At 38.9% G+C, this 26144-nt stretch overlaps 1 protein-coding gene and 1 non-coding gene across 3 annotated transcripts in view, besides 7 other annotated features; one reads left to right on the top strand and one right to left on the bottom strand.

Moving 5' to 3' along the window:
* Positions 429-1628: an enhancer, noted in NCBI's record as "BRD4-independent group 4 enhancer chr11:74123584-74124783 (GRCh37/hg19 assembly coordinates)". NCBI's record gives its function as "activates an origin of replication core promoter dependent on BRD2, P300/CBP, MED14 and CDK7 cofactors, and independent of BRD4, by STARR-seq in HCT116 cells {active_cell/tissue: HCT116}" and the evidence as "EXISTENCE:reporter gene assay evidence [ECO:0000049][PMID:35650434]".
* Positions 14750-15370: an enhancer, noted in NCBI's record as "H3K27ac hESC enhancer chr11:74109842-74110462 (GRCh37/hg19 assembly coordinates)". NCBI's record gives its function as "activates a minimal SCP1, AML or CMV promoter by ChIP-STARR-seq in primed H9 embryonic stem cells {active_cell/tissue: H9 hESC(primed)}" and the evidence as "EXISTENCE:reporter gene assay evidence [ECO:0000049][PMID:30033119]".
* Positions 14750-15992: a biological region, named in NCBI's record as "H3K27ac hESC enhancers GRCh37_chr11:74109220-74109841 and GRCh37_chr11:74109842-74110462".
* Positions 14834-14930, bottom strand: MIR548AL (microRNA 548al). The gene has a single exon (NR_039710.1). It is a non-coding gene; the product is annotated as a microRNA 548al (primary transcript).
* Positions 15270-15639: an enhancer, noted in NCBI's record as "active region_5252". NCBI's record gives its function as "activates an Ori minimal core promoter by ATAC-STARR-seq in GM12878 lymphoblastoid cells {active_cell/tissue: GM12878}" and the evidence as "EXISTENCE:reporter gene assay evidence [ECO:0000049][PMID:35858748]".
* Positions 15371-15992: an enhancer, noted in NCBI's record as "H3K27ac hESC enhancer chr11:74109220-74109841 (GRCh37/hg19 assembly coordinates)". NCBI's record gives its function as "activates a minimal SCP1, AML or CMV promoter by ChIP-STARR-seq in naive H9 embryonic stem cells {active_cell/tissue: H9 hESC(naive)}" and the evidence as "EXISTENCE:reporter gene assay evidence [ECO:0000049][PMID:30033119]".
* The window catches only part of PGM2L1 (phosphoglucomutase 2 like 1), a 68118-nt gene continuing 57707 nt past the window's right edge, over positions 15734-26144 (top strand). For both annotated transcript variants that reach the window (NM_173582.6, XM_011544953.4), the window contains exon 1: positions 15734-16116. In NM_173582.6, coding sequence (NP_775853.2) covers positions 16006-16116 — 111 coding nt within the window. In that variant the 5' untranslated portion in view covers positions 15734-16005. The remainder of the gene's footprint in view (positions 16117-26144) is intronic.
* Positions 17084-17583: an enhancer, noted in NCBI's record as "H3K4me1 hESC enhancer chr11:74107629-74108128 (GRCh37/hg19 assembly coordinates)". NCBI's record gives its function as "activates a minimal SCP1, AML or CMV promoter by ChIP-STARR-seq in primed H9 embryonic stem cells {active_cell/tissue: H9 hESC(primed)}" and the evidence as "EXISTENCE:reporter gene assay evidence [ECO:0000049][PMID:30033119]".
* Positions 17584-18085: an enhancer, noted in NCBI's record as "H3K4me1 hESC enhancer chr11:74107127-74107628 (GRCh37/hg19 assembly coordinates)". NCBI's record gives its function as "activates a minimal SCP1, AML or CMV promoter by ChIP-STARR-seq in primed H9 embryonic stem cells {active_cell/tissue: H9 hESC(primed)}" and the evidence as "EXISTENCE:reporter gene assay evidence [ECO:0000049][PMID:30033119]".

The following is a 26144-nucleotide window of genomic DNA, read 5'->3' as shown; positions in this document are numbered from 1 at the left end:
CAAAGTGGTGTTATGGTTTGAGAAACATCATCAATTAATTCGTAATTGAAGCCACTGGACTATAATAAATTACCAAGGATTAAAGTGAAGATTAAGAAAGGGGCTTCAGGCTGGGGGCGGTGGCTCACGCCTGTAATCCCAGCACTTCAGGAGGCCAAGGCGGGCGAATTGCCTGAGGTCAGGAGTTCGAGACCAGTCTGGCCAACATGGTGAAACCCAGTGTCTACTAAAATACAAAAAAATTAGCCGGGCATGGTGGCGGGCACCTGTAGTCCCAGCTACTTGGGAGGCTGAGGCAGGGGAATTGCTTGAACCAGGGAGGTGGAGGTTGCAGTGAGCCGAGTTGCGCCACTGTACTCCAGCCTGGGCGACAGAGCGAGACTCCGTTTCAAAAAAAAAAAAAAAAAAAAAAAGCCGTTGGGGGTGGTGGCGCTTCAGAAAGAACCAAAAAATACCAACATTTAAATAAGGGGCTGATAGAAGAAAAGTTAGCAATGAAAATAGGAACAGCCATAAATGTAGGAAGAAAGAAAGGAGAATATGGAGTTCTGGATGCTGTGTCAGCCTTGAGAATACACCTCAAAGACTTTCGACTCTAGGGAGGGTAATTGATCAGGGCTTCCACTGCTAGACTGAAATCTACTGCTGTGCTTGCAACAGGACCAGGCTAGGCACTGATCTAAGTGTTGGATAAATTATGCAGATATGCTCAGTAACTTTATGGGATACATGCTATAGTTCCTAAATAAGTTACTATGGTAAATTCTTAATTATACACTATATGGTTTGTATTTTCTAGCTCTTGAGCTGCATTTTTCCCCCCTATTGCCACCTGTGGCAGCTCTGCTAATTACCTACCTAATATCCATTATTCCTGTTTTTCTTACCATCAGAACTTCTGTTTTGCTCAAGGCAATAGCATGTGCAGCCAAAAACTTGATTTCCCAGGAGTGGTTATAGGACACAGTTCTGGCCAGTGAGATGTAAGAAAAAGTCTACGGGGGGTGCAGAGCGGGGCGGAGCGTGGGAAAGCGGCAGCTGCTTTCCTCATTTTAAGAAGGGGCGCAGGCGAACTTGGCTGAAGTGAACTTTTTGCCCTTTGCCCTTCCCCCTTCCTCTTGCCTAGAATTCAGGTACAATGTGGAATGTGGCACAGTCATCTTTTGACTATGAGGGTGAGAACCACGTTAAGGAAGAAAGAGCAGAAAGATAAAAGGAGGCTGGGTGCTTGATGACGTCTTTGACTACCTACGCTTGGTCTGCCTTCCCTGGGACTTCTTGTTATTTGGAAAAGAAAATGAACATCTCTTTGTTAAGCCGCTTAGTTTTGTTTTAGTCACATGCAGCTGAATGCTATCAAGATTGATACATACTTTTGGTCATTTCACTCCTCACTAATATTCCTAACTAAAGGGTGGGCAGAAAAAGTAAAGATAAAACTCATATGTGTATAAATACTATCTATATCTATACCCATATCTATGTATATATGAGTATATTATAACTTGTTCCAAGTTATGATTTGCATAGTATTTTTAAACAATAAAATCCACAGAAAATCATATCTTTTAGTCCTCACCTTACCAAATAATGTAGTTTTTTCCCTGTTGCAAGTCCAGAATGAGTCATTTTCTTCTAATCCTAGAAAATTTCCAGCGTTTAGCTGAGGATATAACATCATCATCAAATCATAGTTTCTCACCAAGAGCTGGTTCCAGCAGATTCAATTTCCCTTTGTCTACAATATGCCATGTCTTCTACACATTATAATAAAAAAGCGATCTTGGATTTCATCAGAAAATGAAAAACTATTAGGGATAGAAAATTGACTACAGGCTACCAGTTCTTTTATTGAATAAATAGAACACACACACAAACACACAAGAATTATAGGAAAGCAAGATAACCTACAACAGCATAGTATAGTCATCTAGCATCCACAAACACAGACATTTAATAAAATAGAAAGCAACAATTTCAAAATGAGCTATCAGGTATGCAGAAAAGAAAATGGGCTGGGGGCAGTGGCTCACGAATGTAATTCCAGCACTTTGGGAGGCCAAGGCGGGTGGATCACGAGGTCAGGAGTTCCAGAGCTCCTGGCCAAGATGGTGAAACCCCGTCTCTACTAAAAATACAAAAATTAGCCAGGTGTGGTGGCGGGGGCCTGTAATCCCAGCTACTAGAGAGGCTGAGGCAGGAGAATCCCTTGAATCCAGGAGGCGGACGTTGCAGTGAGCCGTGATCCCGCCACTGCACTCCAGCCTGGGCTGGACAGAGCAAGACTCCGTTTCAAAAAAAAAAAACAAAAAAAAAAAAACAGAGAGAAAAGAAAATGAACAAAAACTGGAGAAATCAAAGTTTAGAATGACACACATATATTAAGTGGCTCTAGGTACAGAATACTTTTTCCCTAAAAGTGAAAGGTTATTTTTGACCTTCCAAATGTAGTAGACTTAACTTTTTCTTTCAACAGAGAAAAAAAGTTTCTTTACTGGTGATGTTTGGAAATGCCAAGATGTGGAGCTGGCAAATACTGCTTTTATAAGTGGGAAAATCATTCATGCTACAAGAGTACCAGAACTTTGTCTATTTACCATTCTTCTCTCTCATCCCTAGAACAGTGCATAGCACAACAGTAGGTGCACAATATAAAGTTGCTGAATAAATAAATGATCTTTTTTTTCAGAAAGAATTGAGAAAAATGACTGGCAGATGGTAAATAATTTGTTTAAAGTCAAGGAATAGATAACAAGTCATTATTAAAGGGATCTGTTTGTTTGGTTGTTTAGCATCCCTTTTCTTCATCTCCCAGTGACAGAACCCTGCTCTTCCTTTGGGGAAAGGTTCCTTAACTATTCATTTTATGTGATTTTTATGGGGTGGTTCAACATATTACCCTCCTGGCATGGCCTTAGGGGTAGTGGGCTCATAACCCGATCTGGGCCAATTATTCCTTGAAATTTATATCTACTGAAGCAGCGAGATAAATCTTGTCTTTCTTTTTGGGGTTGCTAGCTGGGGTGATGTTTGCCTAGAGCTCTATGTAGTCACAACTGTCTTATTTTGAAAAATAAGTAAGGGAGGTTGGGAGGAAACAGAAGTGGAGCTGAAAGGTGAAGACAGAGTCCTTATGTCAGGATCCAGGGGTCCCTGAAGCTGGCTCCACTCCTGACTTTCTCAGTACATATGCCAAGACATTTAATTTTTTAAATTTTGAATTATATATAAAAATAGATATTTGAAAATAAGTGTATAGTTCAGTGGCATTAAGTACATTCACATTGTTGTACCAAAACTCAATTTTCTACTTAAGCTAGATTAAGTTTGTGTTGTCATTTGCAGTTTAAAAAACGGTAGATTTTTTGGGTTCGTTTTTGTCTTTTTATTATTGTGTTATAGGAATTCTATATATATTCTGGATACTACTTCTTTATCAGATATATATTTTGAAAACAATTTCTCCTAACCTATAGCTTACCAAATTAGATTCTTAAGACTGTCTTTTGATAAGCAGAAGTTGTTAATTTTGATGACAACTAATTTATCAATTTTATATTTTTGTGATTAATGCTTTCTCTATCCTAAGAAATCTTTACCTATTCCCAAGTTGCAAATATATTCTACTTGGTTTTCTTCTAGAAGCTGTATAGCTTTATTTTTTTATTTTATTTTATTTATTTTTTTTAGAAATGAGATCTTACTCTGTCACCCAGGCTGGAGTACAGTGGCACAATCAATCATAGCTCACTGCAGCCTGAAACTCCTGGGCTCAAGCAATCCTCCTGCCTCAGCCTCCTGAGTAGCTAGGACTACAGGTGCACCACCAGGCCCAGCTAATATATATATATATTTTTAGATTTTTTTGTAGAGAGTGTCTTGCTATGTTGCCCAGGATGGTCTTGAACTCCTGGTCTCAAGTGATCCTCCTGCCTTGGCCTCCCAAAGTTCTGGGATTACCTGAGCCACTCAGCCCAGGCTAAAATTAATTTTTATATTTGGTGTGAGATACAGGTTGAGGTTGATATTTTTCCAGATGTATATTCTGTTTTTTCAATATCACCTGTTGAAGGAATTTTCCATTTCTCATTGGCTTGCTTTGATGCTTTTGTTGAAAATCAAATGAATGTGGGTCTACTTCTGGGCCCGCAGAAATAGTCCGTTCCATTGATCTATTTGTCTATCCTAATACTAATACTGCACACTGAATTGCTGCATATTTATAAGTCTTGAAGTCAGATGGTGTAAATTCTCCAACTTTATTCTGCCCTGAAAGGGCTTAAACTAACTTAGCAACTTATTAGTTATTATTGCTCTATTATTAGATAATCATATCAATCTAATAGATACTACTAGATAGTATTATTAGGTGTATAGTTGTAGACCCTGGAATTCAAAAAGAAGAATATGCCTTCTTTGTTGTTTTTGTTACTCACCTCAGCAATATTTCTTCCATGTCAGCATGATAAAAGAGGTTTGTAGCAGACATTTGTAATATTGAGCTCTCAGCACACAAATATCCTTCTTGTTTTGTTTCCTTTGCCTAGCATGCCATATTCCTTTTTCCTAACTCCTATTTGTTCTTCAGTTCCAAGTTAAACTATAAAAATAAAACTATTTACATGTGCATAAAAAAACAAAATGTTTAGGAATACGTCAAAGACTTATAAGACCTCTGCACTGAAACCTACATTAACATTGCTGAGAGAAATTAAAAGTCTTCTTAAATTAGAGACATAGATCATTTTCATGGATTGGAAAACTCAGTATTCTAAAGATGTCAATTAATTCTAAATTGATCTAGGGAGTTAACATAATCTCAATCATAATCCTAGCAGGCTTTTTTTTGGTAGAAATTAACAAGTTTATTCTAAAATTTATATGGAAACGCAAAGGACCTAGAAAACCCAAAGAATCTTGAAAAATAAGGACAAAGTTGGAGAACGCAGGCCACCCAAGTTCAAGACTTACCAAGTTTAGCTATGATTTCTTCAAGGATACCTTTTATGCCCCTCCCAGTCTGGATTAAGTGCCCCTCCTCTGTAATTCCATAGTATTATCTATGAAAAGCACTTATCAGGGCATTTCAATAATGTGTTATTTGTCTGTATTCCTCGTCCTGGGCTTCTTAAGGGCAGGAACAAGGCTTGTCTATCTTGTTTATCCTGAATCTGAAACACCTAGAAAGATGTAACATGACAGACATACAAGTATTTGCCACATTAAATTGAACTTAAATACTTTACATAAAAGAGTTAATATTTTAAAAGAAAACTCATAAAGGTTCATTTTCTGCTTGAGAACTGCTTAATCAGGTGACCAAGACTGGTTTATTGGACTTGGTCTTTAAAAATATTAATATTACTATGACGGAACTAAAAAGATGAAGATCACACAATTTGATTCATAAGACATTAGTTCAACCCTTAGGAATCAAACCCTCTAAACATTTATAGTACATTGCTCAGCAATTGTACTCTAAAGGATTTAGGTATGGAATACTGCAGAAGGCAAAAATGGCTTTATTCACAAAGGCGTTCAATGTTATTGCTATTTACATAGGAAAAATGGAGGCAAGCTAAGAAACCTATACATGAGAATAATTTTTTAAAAAACACCATGGTAGATCAACTTGACATAATATTTTACAGCCATAAGATGATTATCAAAATAGTATAGTGTTCCCAAAATGGCAGATGAGGTTATTTGTATTAACCTTCTTGTTAAAACTAAATAATAAAGCTCAGTTATTATTTTAACCTTCTTTTAAATCACAAAGAAGAAATGACAAGTCAGTAAAAAATTACCAGGCCAAAAATGAAAGGAAAATGTTATCCCGAAGATGTAACTGTGCAAGACGTGGCTTTTGCCCTGAGAGTATTTGCCAATCTTGAAAATTTTGAACCTTAATTTTAAAACTGTCACGGGCAAGACAGAAAATAAAGCCAAGGTCTGCGTAAGCTTGAGGGTCTAACAGGAGAAACTTCTCACAATATTGGAACCCCAAAGAGCTATGCAATCCAAGTAAACTATAAACTAGAAGAGAAATATTTTACATAGAATTACAGCCAACATAGGGTCACCCGAGCACCAGATAATTTCAAGCCTTAAAATAGTTGAACTACCAGGTACTTGGCAATTCCTCTCTAGAGAAAAGAACTTTCTCTATAAAGAGAAGCAAACGCAAATCCTCTCTACAGAACTTTCATTGCAAGTCTAAATTTATTCCCACAAATATTTTTTCAAATACAATGTCCATCACACACACACACACACACACACACACACACACACACACACACACGGCTCGCAAAGAAACCAGACTGCAGAGCAGGAGCTAGCAAAAACATTAGACAAGGGAAACAGACTCATAAAGATTTTAGATTTTAAACAACGAGGCTGGCTATAGGTTTAAAAAGTGAAAGACAAGTTTGAAGATCTCTGTAGAGAATAGGAAACTATGAAAAGTGCTGTAGTAAATTTACAAATGAATCTAAAATAATTCTAGAAATAGAAAATACAATAACCTTAATTAAAAACCCAGAAGTAAAGCTTCTGGATTGGTGGAACACATTGAGCTGCTAGGAGGGTGGTGTGACCTGAGAAGCCACGGAAGCTCCGTGCCACCCGTGCTCCCACACCTTGCCCTATGCACCTCTTCCACTTGGCCATTTCTGAGTTGGAGGAGAAGAAGGTCATGTGAAGATAGAGGCAGAGATTGGAGTTATGCAGCTACAAGCTAAGGAACACCTGGAGCTACCAGAAACTGGAAGAGGCAAAGAAAGATTTTCCCCATAGGCTTCAAAGGAGTTTGGTCCTGCTGACACCTTAACGTTGAACTTCTGGCCTCCAGAACCCCAAGATAATAACATTCTGTTGATTTAAAGACAAACAACCCAAATATCAGATCCCTGCTCTAAATAAATGGCTCTCAGCTTTGGCTGCACATTGGAAACCCATGGGAAAGCTTAAAACAAAAACCAAGCACAAACAAAAAAACCCCACGGATGACCACGCTCCAACCCAGATCAGTTAAATCACAATCTTAGGGAGTGAAGCCCAGCAGTTGATTCCTTTAAAAGATGTGCATCCTGAGTTGGGAACCATTACTCTGGATTAGGAATGGGCAAGCTGTGGCCCATGGGACAAATCTGGCTTGCCACCTGCTTTTGCAAATAAAGTTTCATTGGAATATGCACATGCACACAAACAAAACCAAGGGGTCAGTTTAGTCACTTATATGCTGCTGGAAAGAGAATTAGTAAACTGGAATAAAAGAAATAATAATGATTAGAGTATAAATTAATGAGATTAAAAAATAGAAAAGCAGTAGAGAAAATCAATGAATCCTAAAGTTGGTTCTTTGAAAGATTGACAAAAATGATAAAACTTTAGCTAGATTGACCAAGAAAAAGAGAGAAGACTCAAATTACTAAAATAAAAAGTGAAAGAGGACATTACTACTCACCTTACAGAAATAAAAAGGATTATAAAGGAACACTGTAAACAACTGTATGACAACAAATTAGATAATTTAGATTAAATGGACAAATTCCTACAAGGACACAAACTACTGAAATTGGCTATAGACAAATGAAGAGATCTATAACACATGAAGGGATTGAATTAATAATGAGAAAACTACCCACAAAGAAAAGTCCAGGTCCAGATAGCTTTACTGCTGAATTCTACTAAACATTTAAGGAAGAATTAATGTCAGTTCTTCACAAACTCTTCCAAAAATTGAGGAAGAAGGAAACACTTCCAGACTCATTTTGTGAGACCAGTGTTACTCTGATATCGAAACCAGACTAATATATCACAAAAAAGATAACTATAAACCAATATCTCCATTGAGTATGAACAAATAAATCCTCAGCAAAATACTAGCAACTAAATCCAGAAACATATGAAAACAATGATACACCATGACCAAGTGGGATGCAAGTTTGGTTTAATTTCCCAAAATTAGTAATTAATTATATCATACCAATATAATTAAAAAACTCATATGATCATCTCAATAGATATGGGAAAGCATTTGACAAAATCCAACACTCACGATAAATACACTCAACAAGCTAGAAACAGAAGGGAACTTCATCAATCTGATGAGGGCATCTACAAAAAACCCCACAGTTAACATATACTTAATGGTGGAAGATTGAATACTTTCCCCCTAAAATCAGGAACAAGACAAGAATGTCGACTCTTGTCACTTCTATTCAACACTGTACTGAAGGTAGCCAGAGCCAGTAGGCAAGAAAAAGAAGTCAAAGGCGACCAGATTGGAAAGGAAGAAATAAAACAATCTCTATTCACAGAGGACAAGTATTTGCAAGTCATATATCTGACCTATATCAGGGACATATATCCAGAAATATAAAGAACATTTAAACTCAATAAGAGACAAATAACCAATCACAAGTGGACAAAATATGTTAATTTCCTTCTCAAAGGAAGATATAGAAGTAGCCAATAAGCACATGAAAAGATACTCAACATCTTTAGTCATCAGGGAAATTCAAATCAAAACCACAATGAGATACCACTTCACACTCACTAAAATGGCTAGAATAAAAAAGTCGGATAATAACAAGCATTGGCAAATCTGTGGAAAAATTGGAAGCCTCGTACACTGCTGGAGGGAATGTAAAATGGTACAGTCACTTTGAAAAACAATCTGGCAGTTTTTTAATGGTTAAACATAGAGTTACCATATGATCCAACAAATCCATTCTTAGGCGTATACTGACAAGAAATGAAAACTTTTTGTTTTGTTTTTTGAGATGGAGTCTCCCTCACTCTGTTGCCCAGACTGGAGTGCAGTGGTGCCATCTCGGCTCACTGCAACCTCTGCCTCCCGGGTTTAAGCCATTCTCCTGCTTTAGCCTCCCGAGTAGCTGGGATTACAGGTATGCTCCACCACACCCAGGTAAGTTTTGTATTTTTAGTAGAGATGGGGTTTCACCATTTTGGCCTCCTGACCTCAAGTTATCCACCTGTCTTGTCCTCCCAAAGTGCTGGGATTACAGGCATGAGCTACCACACCCGGGTAAGTTTTGTATTTTTAGTAGAGACGGGGTTTCACCATTTTGGCCAGGCTGGTCTCTTACTCCTGACCTCAAGTTATGCACCTGTCTTGTCCTCCCAAAGTGCTGGGATTACAGGCATGAGCTACCACACCCGGCCAAAAACATTTTATACAAAAAATTATACAAGAATGTTTATAGAAGCATTATTCACAATAGTCAAAAGACAGAGATGACTCAAATGTCCACCAACGGATGGATCAACAAATACGGCATATGCATACACTGGAATATTATTCAGCTGTAAAAAAAAATGAAGTATATGCTACAACACAGATGAGCCCTGAAAACATGTTAAGTGGAAGAAACCAGTCACAAAAGACCACATATGATATAATTCCCTTTAGATGAAATGTTCACAACAGGGTAATCCACAGAGACACAAAGTAGATTAGAGGTTGCTTAGGCCTGGGAGTGGGGAGATAGGGTGATAAAGCTGATGGCTAAAGGGTACGGGCTTTTTTTTCAAGGTGATGAACGTTTTAATTGACTATAGTGATGTTTATACATATCTGTAAATGTAACAAAAACTATTGAATTGTATACTTTAAATGGGTGAACTGGGCAGGCTCTGGGCACACTGCCTATGAGTTAGCCCTGCTCTGCAAGGAGCAGTAAAAAATAAAAAATAATAATAATAAAAAATAAATAAGTGGTTGAATTGTATAGTATGTGATTTATATCTCAGTGAAGTGTTAAAAAATGTAATGAGGCACCGACTCTCAGGTGCCAACCCTGCACTTCACAAACCTAAGCGCAAAGGCTTCCTCACATTTTGCACCTTGGGTTCTTTGCCTTGCTTCACTATATTCCTGCATATGTTCTGCATCCATCCCCCCTTTCACAAAGATAATCATCTTTTTATTTGCTCTTCTTGTTGTATCCCCTTGCCTCGAGGCTTTTATGTAAGAAGGCTAAAAGTAGAAAATTGCTTGTGAGATACTTCCTTTTTGGGCTCTCTCTTTTTAACAGAGTTTACTAGAGTTTATGACAAATATGTTTGTGAGCAATAAGAAAATACTTCTCTTTTCAGAGCAATCACAGAGCAGAATGATACATTTTGTCAAGATTTAAAGTCTTAAAGTAGGCAGGTAATGAGAGAGAGAGGCCCTGAGCTCTGCCTGGTGGTAGCATTTCAAGGAATGGGCAAGATTTTAGAGGGGATGGCTATGTGGCAAACCTAGACAGAGGCTTGGGGTTCCTAGCCTCAACCAAGTTTCCTGGTAATTGCTTACAAATGGCATGCAGGGAGAAAGCTGTCAGACTTCCAGTGTCAGTGACCACTACGGCTCTGGACAATGCAGATGCTTGCAGAAACCTTAATGAACTCGAGCTACAGACCCTTCCTGTTTTCCAAGTACCAGATAAGGCCTGGGTGGGGAAGAAAATTCCAGATATTAATGAAAATTCAAATTCTTGCTGCCCTAACAGAATGAGAAATTCCAGTCTTTTAATTAAATTTTTTTTTCTCTTTTTAGAGACAGGGTCCTGTTCTGTTGCCCAGGCTGGAGTGCAGTGGCACAGTCAAGGCTCACTAGAGCCTGGAACTTCTGGGCTCAAGGGATTCTCCTGCCTCACCCTCCCAAGTAGCGAGGACTACAGACATGAGCCACCATGCCCGGCTAACTAAAAAAAAATTTTTTTGTTGTCGTTTTGCAGAGACAGGGTCTTGCCATGTTGCCCAGGCTGGTGTCAAACTCCTGGGATAAAGCGATCCCCCTACCTCGGCCTCCCAAAATGTTGGGATTAGAGGTATGAGCCACCACACTTGGCTAGATTTTTTGTTAATAATAAAGAAATGTGTATTTCTTATACAGTAGAGGTTTTTCTTTTAAACTTTTTGATTTTGAAATAATTTCACAGCTGGATGTGGTGGCTCATACCTGTAATCCCAGCACTTTGGGAGGCCGAAGCAGGAGGATTGCTCGAGCCCAGGAACACAAGACCAGCCTGGGCAACATGGCAAGACCTTGTCTCTAGAAATAATTAAAAAATTAGCCAGGTATGGTGGCGGGCACCTGTGGTCCCAGCTACTCAGGAGGCTGAGGTGGGAGGATCATTTGAACCCAGGAGGTCAAGGCTGCAGCAAGCCATGGTTGCGCCACCTCACTCCAGCCTGGGCAACAGAGCAGGACCCAGTCTCAAAAAAAAAGAAAGAAAGAAAAGAAAAAAATGATGTCAAAGTTACAAAAATAAAAATAGTACAAACAATACCCATATATATATATTATATATATACATAATATATATTATATATACATAATATATATAATATATACACATAATATATATAATACATATACATAATATATATTATGTATATATACATTATATATTATATTATACATATATATGTATATATACACACATTATATATACATAATATATATTATATATACATAATATATATTTTATATATACACATATATATTTTTATGTATACATAATATATATAATAGATACATAATATATATAATATATTATATATATATTTTATATATACACTAATATATATAATGTATACATAATATATATAATATATATTATATATACATATATTATATGTATGTGATATATGTATAAATCTGTGAATTATATATTATAATATATATAACATATATTATATATTATATATAATATATGTTATATATATTATAATATATAATATATATATTATATATATTATGTATACATAATATATATTAGTGTATATATAAAATATATATATAATATATAATATATACATGTATATATAAAATATATATTACATATGTATACATATTACATAATATATATTATATACACATAATATATATAATACATACACAATATATAATATATACACATAATATACATTATATATACACATTATATATATTATATATACAAAATATATATAATATATATACATAATATATATCTCTCTCTATATATATATGTTTTTTTGAGACAGATTTCACTCTTGTCACCGAGGCTGGAGTGTAATGTGCGATCTTGGCTCACTGCAACCTCCACCTCCCAGGTTCAAGTGTTTCCTCCTGCCTCAGCCTCCCAAGTAGCTAAGATTACAGGTGCCTGCCACCATGCCTGGCTAATTTTTGTATTTTTAGTAGTGATGGGGTTTCACTATGTTGGCCAGGCTGGTCTTGAACTCCTGACCTCAGGTGATCCACCTGCCTTGGCCTCCCAAAGTGCCGGGATTACAGATGTAAGCCATTCATATATTCTTTACCCAGCCATTCACATATTCTTTACCCAGATCCACCCACTATTAACATTTTCCTCCATTTGCTTTGTCCTTTGCTATTCATTTAACTATGTAATATATATGTTTGCATATATACATATATAATAAATATTTGTATAGACATACACGTGGTCTTTTTCTAAATCATTGGAGGGTAAGTTATATATATTATGATTCTAAAATATTAGGTCCATTATATGTAATATTTGAAACATTATATTATATATATGTAGTAAATATAATACAGTCATGTGCTGCATAAGGATGTTTCGGTCAAAGAACGGCATATACAATGGTGGTCCCATAACATTATAATGGGGCTGAAAAATTCCTATGACTGAGTTGATGTCTTGATGATCCTCACCCAGTGTAGGCCTAGGCTAATGTGTACGGTGCTTATAAAGTCTACAGTAGTGTACAGTAGTGTCCTAGACCTTCCCATTCCCTCACCACTCACTCACTTACTCACTCAAGAGCTACTTTCAGTCCTGCAAGCTCCATTCATGGTAAGTGCACTATATAGGTGTGCCATTTTATATTTTTTATATCATAATTTTTATACCAAAAATTGTACCTTTTCTATATTGAGATATGTTTAGATATCCAAATGCTTACAATTGTGTTACAGTCCCCTACAGTATTCAGTACAGCAACATACTGTACAGGTTTGTAGCCTAGGAGCAATAAGCTGTACCATATAGCCTAGGTGGGTAGTGGGCTATACCACCTAGGTTTGTATACTCTATGATGTTAAGATGACAGAATCACCTAATGATGCATTTCTCAGAACACATCCCTGTTATTAAGCAATGTATGACTGTATACGGGGACCAAGAAGGATATTCTTTTTCATAACCACAGTTAATGTTGCCAGGCTTAGCAAATAAAAATGCAGGATGCCATGGGCAAATTCCAACAGAAATGAAAGCTCTGAGCTTTCCCAGACTAGGGGAACTACTACACTTCCTCTGCTGAACACACTTAGACACTGCTGTTGGATTTGATGGGTTCTGGGTCTCCTTGGTTACCCTCCAACATCCAAACAATAAATCTAATCCGCTGGGCAAGATTTCTGGTAAGCAGTAAATGTCTGCTATGATCTTGCTGATAAAAGTGAAGGTTAGTTGACTCTTTTTTTCCATGTCTTGAAAGCTCTGTTGATTTGGTAGTGTTTCTCAGAAATGAACTGAATAAGAATTGTCTTATAAAAAACACTGTTTAACAAATTTAAATATAACTCATCATTAGATCTTGTTAAAATGTAGGTTCTGATGCAGCAGAACTGGACTGGGGTATGAAATTTTGTATTTCTTAATAAGCTTCCAGAGGACATCAGCACAGTTGTCCTCCTAATCACACTTTGAATTGTGACAGTCAATAGATATTTCAAATATGCAGGTACCTAGGCCCTATGCCAATGTATTGATTCAGAATCTCTGGAGGCAGTGTCCAGGAATATTAATTTAAACAAACTCCTAGGGAGATATGAGAACCACTGATCTATGGGTTTGAAATATCCTCTATCTTATTCTCAACTTGTTTATTTTGTTTCTGAAAGCCCAGTGCAGGTCCCTCCTGCTTGATGCTTTTTTCATTGACCACCTCAGATGTAAATTCATTAACAGTTGTTGGCAGCACTTGCTATTTATCATGGGCTTTCTTTTCTTACATATATCCTGTCTCCTCAGATGTTACTTCTCGAAGTGAACAATTATATAGATTCTTGTAGCCTCAGCTCCTACCATAATGCTTAGCAGAGAGTAAATGTTTAATATGTATCATGGATAATAATGGTGATGGTAGTGGAAGATGAATTTCTCTCCAGGACACGTGACTGTTGCCCAGGCCTTGTGTGATTAAAAGAACAAGAGTCCTGCTGACTCCACAAAAGAAACAATCGTTAGCAAAAACTGCAACTCCCAACTATGGCACGTTTTTCAGAAACTGGTACCACAATCCTTTTGTACCTTGGTAGTTTGAATTTTATTATGGTAAATGGCACTTTAAAGGAAATAAAGTAATACTTTGAACTTAATATGTCTTTTATCTGTGAACCTCAAAGCAGCCTAATGCCATTTATTAAGTTACTGTACAGCCATGATGTAAATATTATCATACCTTCCTTACAAAAAAGCTGACTAGGGAAAGAGTTGTAATGTACTTGCCCAAAATCATAGCCATTCTAAGAAGGCCAAACCAAGAAACGGAGGAGTAGCTAGGTGGCTGACAGGTCAGCACTTCTCAGCATTTCCCAGACCTCAACTTAGGTGAGCTTTCCATAGGAGAGACGGCTAAGAAGTAACGGAAGACTATTTCAATTTGGGTGAACCAATTTCCTTTTCCTCCGTATTCCCATTACCATTGCTCTTGGTATCTTGTGATGCTTATACATTCTTATATTTAGGTTAAATGCCGACCATCTTCCCTCAACAACTTCCTTATCTATTTTCCAGTAATCTTGTTCTCCCTACCTCCTAGTTTACTATAGCAGCAGAGATATTAGATTGGTACAAAAGTCATTGCCGTTTTTGCCATTACTTTTAATGCCATTATTTTTAATGGCAAAAACAGCAATTACTTTTGCACCGACCTAATAAAATAACTGCCAGCTGAGGGGATCTGAAATGAGATTGGAACCCTAGTTTGACCGCTCACGAACTCGGCCTCTTAGGAGAGGTGTCTCAGGGAGTCAGTTTCTTCTTTGTGTGTGAAACGGAAAAGGACTACGCCCCTGTACCTTACTGAGGGATTGAGGCGATAGAACGCGATTCGTAAACTGCACAGCACTAAACGGATACCACTTTGTCCCCTTACTATGTCATTCCTTGTTTAATTTAATGCCAGGGCCACACAGCGCAGCATAACTAATAGGGATAGGGCGTGTCTGTAGGGAACTACCTCGAGGTAGATCTTTTTCTTTTGAGGAAAGGGGGAACGCGGAGCTGCTGGGAGTCGTAGTCTCGGCGGCGGTCTCCGCTGAGCTCAGACAAAGGAAAGAACTACAACTCCCGTGAGGCAGTGCGCGGACAGCTCGCACTGCCCCTCCTCCCCCAACCGGCGCGTGCCCCCAAGAGAAACTGGGGGCCTGCGCGCGCGCTGGGGACCTGCAGGGCAAGCGCAAAGGCAGCTTGCTAGTGGTAGCCGTGAGAGCAGATCGAGGAAAGGAGACCCTTGGCAAATTAAAAAATAAAAAGAACCGTGCACTATTGCCTCACCACCCGGACGGGCTGTAAACCCCCACTACTTCGGAGGCGTGGGGAGCGCGCTCCCGGGCTCCAGTCTAGAACTTCGGGGACTTAAATCAGCAAGGGCGGGAAGGGGCGGGGCCTAAGGCGCGGGGCGGGGCCGTAGGCGGGGCGGGCGGCGGCGGCGGCGGCGGAGCCAGGACCCAGACATCTGGGACTGTTGTTCTCTCGCGGCGCGACCGCCTCAGTCACTTCGCCCAGAGACCCGGACCTGGTCCGCTGGGGAGCAGGCGGCCATAAACCCCCTCTCTCCCGGTTCCCTGACGCCGCGGCAGGAGCTGTTACGAACACCCTGCGGTTGGTCTCCGATGCCCTTCAGTGAGGTGGGGACGCCTGGACCCTGGTGAGCGAACCCCAAGCCACCCCCCACCCCAACTCAGTGTCTTCGCCGGCCCCCGGCCCGTACGCCTGTCTGGTCGCCATGGCTGAAAACACAGAGGGGGATCTGAACTCCAACCTGCTCCACGCCCCCTACCACACCGGGGACCCTCAGCTGGACACGGCCATCGGGCAGTGGCTCCGCTGGGATAAGGTGGGTACCTGGTCAGCCCGGCAAACGCCGTCGCCTCCCCCACACAGTCTGCTCTTTCCTGTGCCCACCCAGCGCCCCGCGGGCTGCAGAGGAGATGGCTCGGGACACCGAGCGGGGGGCAGCGGAGCAGGGCGTTGCCACCCACCTATGCGTGGGGTTGCTCCTTCGGACTGCCAGAGCCGGGCGGCAACATCTGCATCGCTTCCTTCTGCAGTGCTCTCAATTGTAACCTCCCTTCCTCTTCTTTACCCTCTTTCCTTTCAAGTGCTGTCTTCCCTCTTTCTTCAAAAAAAAAAAAAAAAAAATCATCATCATTGTAAGTTATACCCTAAACAACGATTTCCTTTCCCTTTTTCTCCCTTGACTTCCTTCTCCACATACCTGAAAGTGGTTTCTGGCACCCTTACTGGGCGTTTCTAACCGCTATCCGCTTTAGTTCTGGTCTGGTGTGTTTCCTCCTTCTGTCGCTAGGTAGTTGCTGGCCTTTTATCACTCCCTGGTATTGTCTAGTATCACCTTTTGCTGTTGGGAAAGGCAAGGCGCTTACCTCTTCTTTCTCCTGCTGGCAGCTATTTTCTGGAATTAATCTGTTCAAGGAATCGTGTTTTCCAGGTTTCATGTGGTACTCTTAATACAGGATTGTTTTTGCCTTAACCATTACTTCTCTACCAACACCTCCCCACCCACCCTCCGCCCCCACCTCCAAGTTGTGGTGGTAATTAAACCTCGTGCGGGCATTTGGGATGAATTTGTGACAATCAGAATTAAAATGCAGCTATCTTACTTGTAAAAGAGGTCCCTGGTAGCTCCAACAGAGGAAGATAATCCAAGCTTTTGCTTTGTCAAGTGCGTAAAATACCTTTGTTGAAGTAGAGAAGGCAGCACATTTAAAATGGAATTAATGACACTGAATTAAGGAATTTGTATGGTAGTATGTGACATTATGTTGTACAAATGAATTTCCTTAAGGCTTCACTTTCTGAAAGTTTTGTTTTTACTTTATTCATTCATTCATTCAGCAAAAAAATATTGAATGCTGAGTGCGTGTTTTAGGTCTTGTTAGACCCAGGAAATACTTGTGAGGAAAATAGAAAGGGTTCCTGCCCTCAACAAGCCTCAGTTAGCAGATGAGGAAGACCAACAAATAAGCAACTACAATGAGGTATTTGGTGTTAATTGGTCATATGTATATTGGACGAATAATTCTTCCTCTACAGTCTAAACTAATGCTTCTCAAACCTTAATGTGCTTATAGATCACCTGGGGATCTTGAAATACAAATTCTGATTCAGGAGGCCTGGGGTGGGGCCTTGGATTCTGCCTAAGAATGAATTTCCGGCCGGGCGCCGTGGCTCAGGCCTGTAATTCCAGCACTTTGGGAGGCCGAGGCGGGTGGATCACGAGGTCAGGAGATCGAGACCATCCTGGCTAACATGGTGAAACCCCGTCTCTACTAAAAATACAAAAAATTAGCCGGGCGCGGTGGCGGGCGCCTGTAGCCCCAGCTATTCGGGAGGCTGAGGCAGGAGAATGGCTTGAACCCGGGAGGCGGAGCTTGCAGTGAGCGGAGATCGCGCCACTGCACTCCAGCCTGGGCGACAGAGCGAGACTCCGTCTCAAAAAAAGAAAAGAAAAGAAAAAAAAAGAATGAATTTTCAGGTGATACTAATGCTGCTGGTCTGTGGACCACACTTGGAGTAGCAAGACTTTTTGTTCTCTTTAGGTGCCAGTTTTAACTGTACTTTTCCTAATGAGTCTCCTGATTGATTTTTTTTTTTTTTTTTAAACAGGGTCTCACCGTGTTGTCCAGGCTGGAGTGCAGTGGCGCGATCTCCGCTCACTGCACTCACTGCAGCCTTGAACTCCTGGGCTCAAGTGATCTTTCTGCCTTAGCCTGCCGAGTAGCTGGGACTACAGGCACATGCCACCACGCCCGGCTAATTAAAAAAAATTTTTTTTTTTTTAGAAATGGGGTCTCACTATGTTGCCCAGGCTTGTCTTGAACTCTGGGCCTCAAGGGATTCTCCCACCTCAGCCTCCCAAAGTGTTGGGATTATAGGCATGAACCACCACACCCGGCCCCTGAATTATTTTTAAAAGATTGTTTGAATGAATTTATATTTATTGATTGTCCATTCTATGCCTATACATTGTTGGGATATACTGAAATATTAAAGAAACCTGTAAAATGCACATAAAATAATAATGCTAGGGTAGTTTTGGTGGCAATTAAATGGTTTGTAGGCAGTCAGTTCTTGCAGTTCAAAAGTAGGAGTAAACGGTGGACTGAGATGCTCAAGGAAGACTTCATTAGAAGATAGGATACATAAAAAGAATGAAGAGAGGTCAGGCACGGTGGCTCACGCTTGTAATGCTAGCACCCTGGGAGGCCAAGGTGGGCAGATCACCTGAGGTCAGGAGTTCGAGACCAGCCTGGCCAACATAGTGAAACCCCGTCCCTACTAAAAATACAAAAAAAAAAAAAAAAAAAAAAAAAAAAAGCCAGGCGAGGTGTCACGTGCCTGTAGTCCCAGCTACTCAAAGGCTGAGGCCAGAGAATCACTTGAACTTGGGAGGCGGAGGTTGCAGTGAGCTGAGATCGTTCCACTGCACTCCAGCCTGGATGACAGAGTGAGACTCCATCTCAAAAATAAATAAAACAAAATAAAAATAATGAAGATAAAACTTCATTGAAAGTGGAAGATAAATTCTTAATTTGTATTTAAAGTGCCTCTGAATATAAGGCATTAGCTGAAACCTGTGAGAGATAGAAAGATGAAATAGATATGGATCATATCTTTAAAGAAAATAGAAGGGAAGGAAAAGCATAAATAATAGGGGCAAGTAATAAGTATCCTTAACAGAGGAATAGATTAAGTAATTTGTTAATTATTTAATAAATATAATAAATTTCTTCATTGATCCTCTCTTAATAGGAGAGAATACATTTAATGGAGAAATTGTATCTACTGTAGATTGATACTATAGGTAAGCTAGACTGTCTCAGGGCACTGAAATTTAGAGTGCAGAAATGTAAAATAAGATCAGACTCATGGCATTTCTTACATTATATATTGATGGCATATGTAGTCTTTTAACAGAGAAACTGATTTTAACACCTGATGAATACCTATTTAATTAAAAAAGGAACCAAATGCCACCAATTCTTCATGACTCAGATGAGGCATATAATAAGTTTTAAATTGATTAGAGGTCAATTTGCTACTTGCGTTGGTCACTAAAATTACTAATCTTAGTCTCGGTTGGTGTATTTGAAAAGTCTTTATGAAAAAATGTTATTTGTGCTTGAACTTTCAGAATTAGTTAAAATTAGACTTGCTAACATAAGGAGAACTATGACAAGCATAGAGAGAAATTTTAATGTGTGTATTAAGAACTTTTATTTCTGCTGTTGCTCAGGGTACATAGAAAATTTTGGAAGGATGTGTAAAGACCAGGTCATAGAAGGGCTTTAGTATGTCTTGAAGGGCTTAAATACACACAGGTGTGTGTGTAAATGTTAAAAAGAAAACAATGCAACAAGACAGGTGTTTATTGGGGCAGTTTGGGGTACTCCATGTAATTTCTAAGGGGTGGCTTTCTGTTGGTAAATTTACAAGTCCAGAATGTGACCTTCCATTCCTGAGCCTTCAGCCTAATTTGTTAGCCTACCTTGTCTCAGGATGTACTCACTGTGCCCAATGCCACAGAAACTGATGTCTGAATTCAGAATGTTTTATTAATGTATGGTACAGATGTAATAGCTAAGTAGATTTGTTTCTATTCAGGGCATTTTCTAGATGCACCATAGGAGAAGTCAAAAGAAGATTTTTGGTGGTCATGAAATCAAATCACAGGGAGTCAGATATATGACACAAACATTTAACAGCATCAACCTGTAATAAGTAAATGCACACATCTCCACAATGGGACTGTCCTACCATTAGAACCCAACAAGTCCTAGATCAAGGCATTTCTCCTCCAGGCAGCGAACAGATGACTCTACTACCAGTGCTCTCTCCTTCTATGCTCTAGGGCTAAGTCACTCACCTCCTTCCTAGTTTTTTTTTTTTCAGTGCTTTCTTACATTCTGTCAAATTATAGACCAGTTTTGCTGGCCCAGAAGCAGGTTCTCTCATTATAATATGTCCTGTTCTTTATCCATTGTGAATTTTCTTTTTAAAAGCAGTCCTATATGTAAGATGTTAGGCACTGGCAAAGTGGATGGGGTCAGTGGCTGGATGGGGAATAGAGCTGGGACACAGGCTAGAGCTGCTCAGCCTGCTATAGCAGCTGTCACAAAGGTGTTGAACTTCCTATATATCAACAACGATGTGGAGGCAGGAATTGGCCACGGCATTTTAAGAAATAGCAAGTAGAGCACTGTGGTCTCAGAATGTAGGTCTGCGTTGAGAAAGAGTATCATGTAAAGTTCAAGGTAGCGTAGGCTTATAAAAAGCCTGAAAATGGAAATAAAATACTTCAATCTAAGCCAGTGATTCACACATTAGTCTAATGGTAGAAGTTTTTTTTCCAATGTCACTCACATGATTTTCTGTGCCTCCTAATGTAGCCCAGATAGAAAAGATGGTGAGTGAATTTCCTTTTAAGTCATCATTATGTGATGGGAAATACACCTATGACATACCTGTACAAAGGTGGTCTACTCCAGGGTCATTGCGTAGAGACCCAAAGAAATTGTGGACATTATCCAGTTGGGGAGCTTAGATGGGAGCTTGGATCTGCCACCTAGTTCAATCCAATTTTTATAATACTAGTTTATATAACATTTTTTGTTCACATTTTTCTAATACTGAATTTGGCATTTAATCAATGAAGAGTACACAGTATACACATATGGCTTTATTACTTTTGGGAAATGCTAGTCCTTATTCCTTGAATTTATTTTTGTAGTGTTTCAACTTTGGTAAAATGCTGTTAAGTCTCATTTGCTATTCATAGCAACAGTGTGTTAGGCAGGTAGTAGTTATCCCCAATTTTGCAAGTAAAGAAACTTAAGCTCATAAAAGAAAAGTGACTTGCTAAAGGAGATACGGCTTTTAAGTGGTAAAATTGGGACTCAAACCTAGGTCATCTGACTTTTACTGTATTCTTATCACTAGGGTAGACTCCATAAACCAAATGTTTAATAAATGTTAGTGACAACATAAACTAAGTTTCAAGGCCCTCATTAAAACTGTTTTATTGGCTGGCCGGGCGCAGTGGCTCACGCCTCTAATCCCAACACTTTGGGAGGCCGAGGCGGGCGGATCACAAGGTCAGGAGATCGAGACCATCCTGGCTAACATGGTGAAGCCCCGTCTCTACTAAAATACAAAAAATTAGCCGGGCGAGGTGGCGGGCACCTGTAGTCCCAGCTACTCGGGAGGCTGAGGCAGGAGAATGGCGTGAATCCGGGAGGCGGAGCTTGCAGGGGAGCCGACATCGCGCCACTGCACTCCAGCCTGGGCGACAGAGCCAGACTCCGTCTCAAAAAAAAAAAAACTATTTTATTGGCTTTTATAAAGCTGGAGTAGGATGTAATATTATGCAGAATAAATTGCCATGGATTTTTTTTTTTTAAGAGCTGAACAGTTGCTTTGGTCTCCTTGGCAACACAGTATTCTCCTTCTGTCCAAGAAATTTAGTACATATAAATGAATATTTGAATTTTTCTTTTTAGAATTCAAATTCATTTTTTTCTTTATACTTCCAAATTTCCTACATTTTCTCCTGTTTTCATCATTTTATTTGCAATTTATTTTTTTTGAAGAAATACATGCTTATGATTTTAAAAAATAGTACAGAAGGGATTATAATGGAAAACAATGATCCTAACTGCCTCTTCTTTTCCTCAGTTTGCTCCTTATAAGTCATTTTAAGTTTCTTTTTAGTTATTTTTGTGGTTACCATGAAAAGACTAAGTAATATACTAGAAGCACTATTTCTTGATGTATTTTAAAGCTTTAGATATTATCTGTCAAATATATCCCTGTGCTATAAAAAATGGGAATTCACTCACTATTCTCTATGTCTCCTAAATTTTGATAGTTATGCTATTAGCATTAGTTATTTCAAAAGTTTAAACAATATAATTAATGCTAGCAAAGTTTGCAGGACAATAAGTGCAACTAACAAACAGGGCTTCCAACTGGCCATTCTATTTAAGAGGAGACTGGCAGAAAACATATTGTATACATGAAAACAGAGAAAACCCATACCAGCTTATATAAGGTACCTAGCGTAGTCAAATACACAGAAACAGAAAACAGAATGTTGGGTACCAGCGGCTAAAAATCTATTGATGTTAATAACTAACTAACGATCAAACTATAAAAAGGAAATAAGCTGCATGAAAAATAAGTAAAGCAATGGATACAGGAAAAAAACTGAGTTAAGTCAGGGAACACAAGAACTTAATGTTTTTTGATTAAATAAGACAATTATTCCATCAAATAAGGAAATATGCTATGAAAAAGGAACAGGAAACAATAATGAGCTCTTGGAAATTAAGAAAAAAACGTTACACCCCACCCCTGCCAAATGCAATAGAAAATATAGACGTTAAAGTTGAGGAAACATAGCAAAAGGAAATAGGAAATATGAGGAAGTTGATGTGGAGTAACTTCCCCAGAAATCCAATGTAAAGAAATCCTAGATGAAAATAGTGTACTGATCCACACTGGGGTTCCAGAAATATATCTTGAAAAAGAATTCAGCATCTATGCCATAAATAGTAAAAAGCTGGAAGATGTTAGTAATATGGTGAAGATGGCGTGTTGTTTCTGGTCAACAACATTAAAAAAAAAAAGAACAGAAAAGAAAAAGCAGTTACCCAAGGAAGGGAGGGAGGGAGGAGGAAAACAGGAAGAAAGTAGGAAGGGAGGGAGGGAAGGAAAGAATGAAGGACCCAAATAAGCAAGGAAAGACAAAGCTGAGTAAGTTAAGTTATGGTCTAAAAATGAAGCCAACTAAAATGGGGCATCATTTTGAACAATTAATTGATGGATCTTAAGGAAAGAAAAACAGATCTCCAGAACTTTTTCATCTTGCTAAACTGAATTTCTGTACCCATTAAATAACTCCCCATTTCTTCGTCCCCTAAGCCTCTAGCACCCACCATTCTGCTTTCTGTTTCTATGAATTTGACTAATCTAGGTACCTCATATAAGTGGCATCATACAATATTTGTCTTTCTATGACTAGCTTATTTCACTTAGCATAATGTCTTCATAGTTCATCCATGTTGAAGACAAGATTTCATTTTGATTATAGAACAAAATGTACATGTTATCAAGTTATTTTGGGTTTGGGCTTATTGCACTTTGTTTCATGCTACTTTTTGTACGTGGAAATTGCATCTACTCTTCAGTACCCACTGATCCCTTCCTCCAGTTCTTTTTACATTGTAGGTTTAGTCCTTTCGTTCCTTTACTATCACTGTAATAAGTTCTCAGGGAGGGGAGACAAGTGTTTAAGTCTTTCATCTTGACCCAAAAATCTTTATACTTTTATTTCTTCAAATTAAAAATGTACTTGAAACTGAAAACAGCTAAGATGTCCTTCAATAGGTGAATGAATAAGCAAACTGTTGCATATCAAATATTATTCAGTGATTAAAACAAATTAGCTGTCAAGCCACAAAAAGAGATGAGCTATCAAGCTGTGAAAAGATGAAGAAACCTTAAATGTAGATTGCTTACTGAAAGAAGATGGTGTGGAAAAACTACACAGTGTAGTAATTTTTCCATAGATATATTTGAAAAGGAGTGATTCATATTTGAAAGCTCTTCCTGTCTCACCTGACAGTTTTCAAAATAGGTAGACTAGCACTTCTGTTTGTTATTTGGGGGACTTCTTTGCCCTGTTTTTTTTTTTTTCTTTCATAAAAGCTGTTTGTTTACTTCCTTCAAGTTTTCTTTTTTTTTTTTTGAGACGGAGTCTCGCTCTGTCGCCCAGGCTGGAGTGCAGTGGCGCAATCTCGGCTCACTGCAAGCTCTGCCTCCCGGGTTCACGCCATTCTCCTGCCTCAGCCTCCCGAGTAGCTGGGACTACAGGCGCCCGTCACCACGCCTGGCTAATTTTTTTTTTTTTTTTTTTTTTGTATTTTTAGTAGGGACGGGGTTTCACCATGTTAGCCAGGATGGTCTCGATATCCTGACCTCGTGATCCGCCCGCCTCGGCCTCACAAAGTGCTGGGATTACAGGCGTGAGCCACCGCACCCGGCCAGTTCCTTCAAGTTTTCTACAAGGCCGTTAGAAACCTATTCGGATATGTCTTTGATCTAAAATTATTTTCCCGGTCGGGCGCAGTGGCTCACGTCTGTAATCCTAGCACTTTGGGAGGCCAAGGCAGGCGGATCACCTGAGGTCAGGAGTTCGAGACCAGCCTGGCCAACATGGTGAAACCCCCATCTCTGTTAAAAATACAAAAAATTAGCTGGGCGTGATGGCACTTGCCTGTAATCCCAGCTACCCAGGAGACAGGCAGGAGAATCACTGGAACCCGGGAGGCGGAGGCTGCAGTGAGCCAAGATCGCGCCACTGCACTCCAGCCTGGGTGACAGAGCGAGACTCCATCTCAAAAAAAATAAATTTTTAAAAAAGTATTTTTCCTGTCTCTTCCTCTCCTCTTATTTAAAAAAATCAAAGAATATGGATAATCTAATAAAAAGGAATTTATCATCATTTGATTCTTCCAGGTTTTACTTGTGAGATACATTGAATTAACAAAAGAATATACATCTTATTATATTTCATTAGCTCAGGGTTTTTGTTTTGTTTTGTTTTGTAGAGAAACAGGGTCTCACCCTGTCACCTAGGCTAGAGTGCAGTGTGATCATAGCTCACTGCAGCCTCCTGGGCTCAAGTGATCCTCCCACCTCAGTTTCCGGAGTGGCTGGGACTACAGGCACAAGCCATCACACCTGGTTACATTAGCTTAGATTTCAATGATAATCCCTGGATAATCTAAATCAGAATTCTTTCATCCTTCCTTTTGGAGAGACAGCACAATTGGCTTGTCTCATGGAGAAACCTGTTTTTACCTAATTTATGTCTGTTTGGCTTTTTAGAAATATTTTCCCTCAAAATAAAAGGTTGATTAGTAATTTAGTGCAGATTTTACTGAAGGAGTATTGTTTTCATTAGTCAACTGTGGTCTGCATTACTACTAATTAGTACTGAGGCTGCTGCCCTCTAGTATCGGGAGTTAATGGAGAAAATGTTCTATGCTGGTGAAGAATAGACAGGAAGGCAGTGAGATAGTGTCACCAATCCTCATGAGATCTTTTACACCAAGTCATTTAATGAGGAGTGTATCTTACCAAACAAAACAATGGAAATGGTCATATTTAATGCCTTAAAGAGTATGAAGACTATAATATGGTAAATGAAAAATACCATATCTCTCTGATTCAAAGACATTTTAATGTCTACCTTGTTAGAAAACCTCTTTAACGTAAGTAATGGTTTTATGTTGTGTTTCTGCTTCAGAATTTTTTCACGTCATTTTCTCTCTGAAATATTTCATTATTTATATAGGTAAAAATGAGGGAAAAGCCTAAGTGTCCATGAATAAATAAATGGTGACATAAACTGGAACACTCTGGAGTGAAAAGAATAGCATGGCTCTATATGTATTAAAAGGACCTCCAAGATATATAGATATAAAGAGAGATATAGATACATAGGTGTATAGGTTTATATTTTTTTTAATTTTATTTTATCATATTAAGAACACTTAGCATGAGATTTACCCTCTTAACAGATTTTCCAGTATTCAATATAGTATGGTTAACTGTAGGTACAGTGCTGCACAGCATATCTCTATAATGAATTCATCTGGCTTAACTGCAACTTTATGCCTCTTGCTTAGCAACTCTCCATTCCTCCTTCCCTTCCAGCATCTGGCAACCATCATTCCACTCTTTAATTCTATGAATTTGACTATTTTAGATACCTCATATAAGTGAAATCATGCAGTATTTGGCCCTCTGTGCAAGATATACATGAAATAAGCAAGTTAT

Source organism: Homo sapiens, chromosome 11 (assembly GCF_000001405.40).
Source record: "Homo sapiens chromosome 11, GRCh38.p14 Primary Assembly".
NCBI lineage: Eukaryota > Metazoa > Chordata > Mammalia > Primates > Hominidae > Homo > Homo sapiens.
This window is presented reverse-complemented; position numbering and strand designations above follow the sequence as displayed.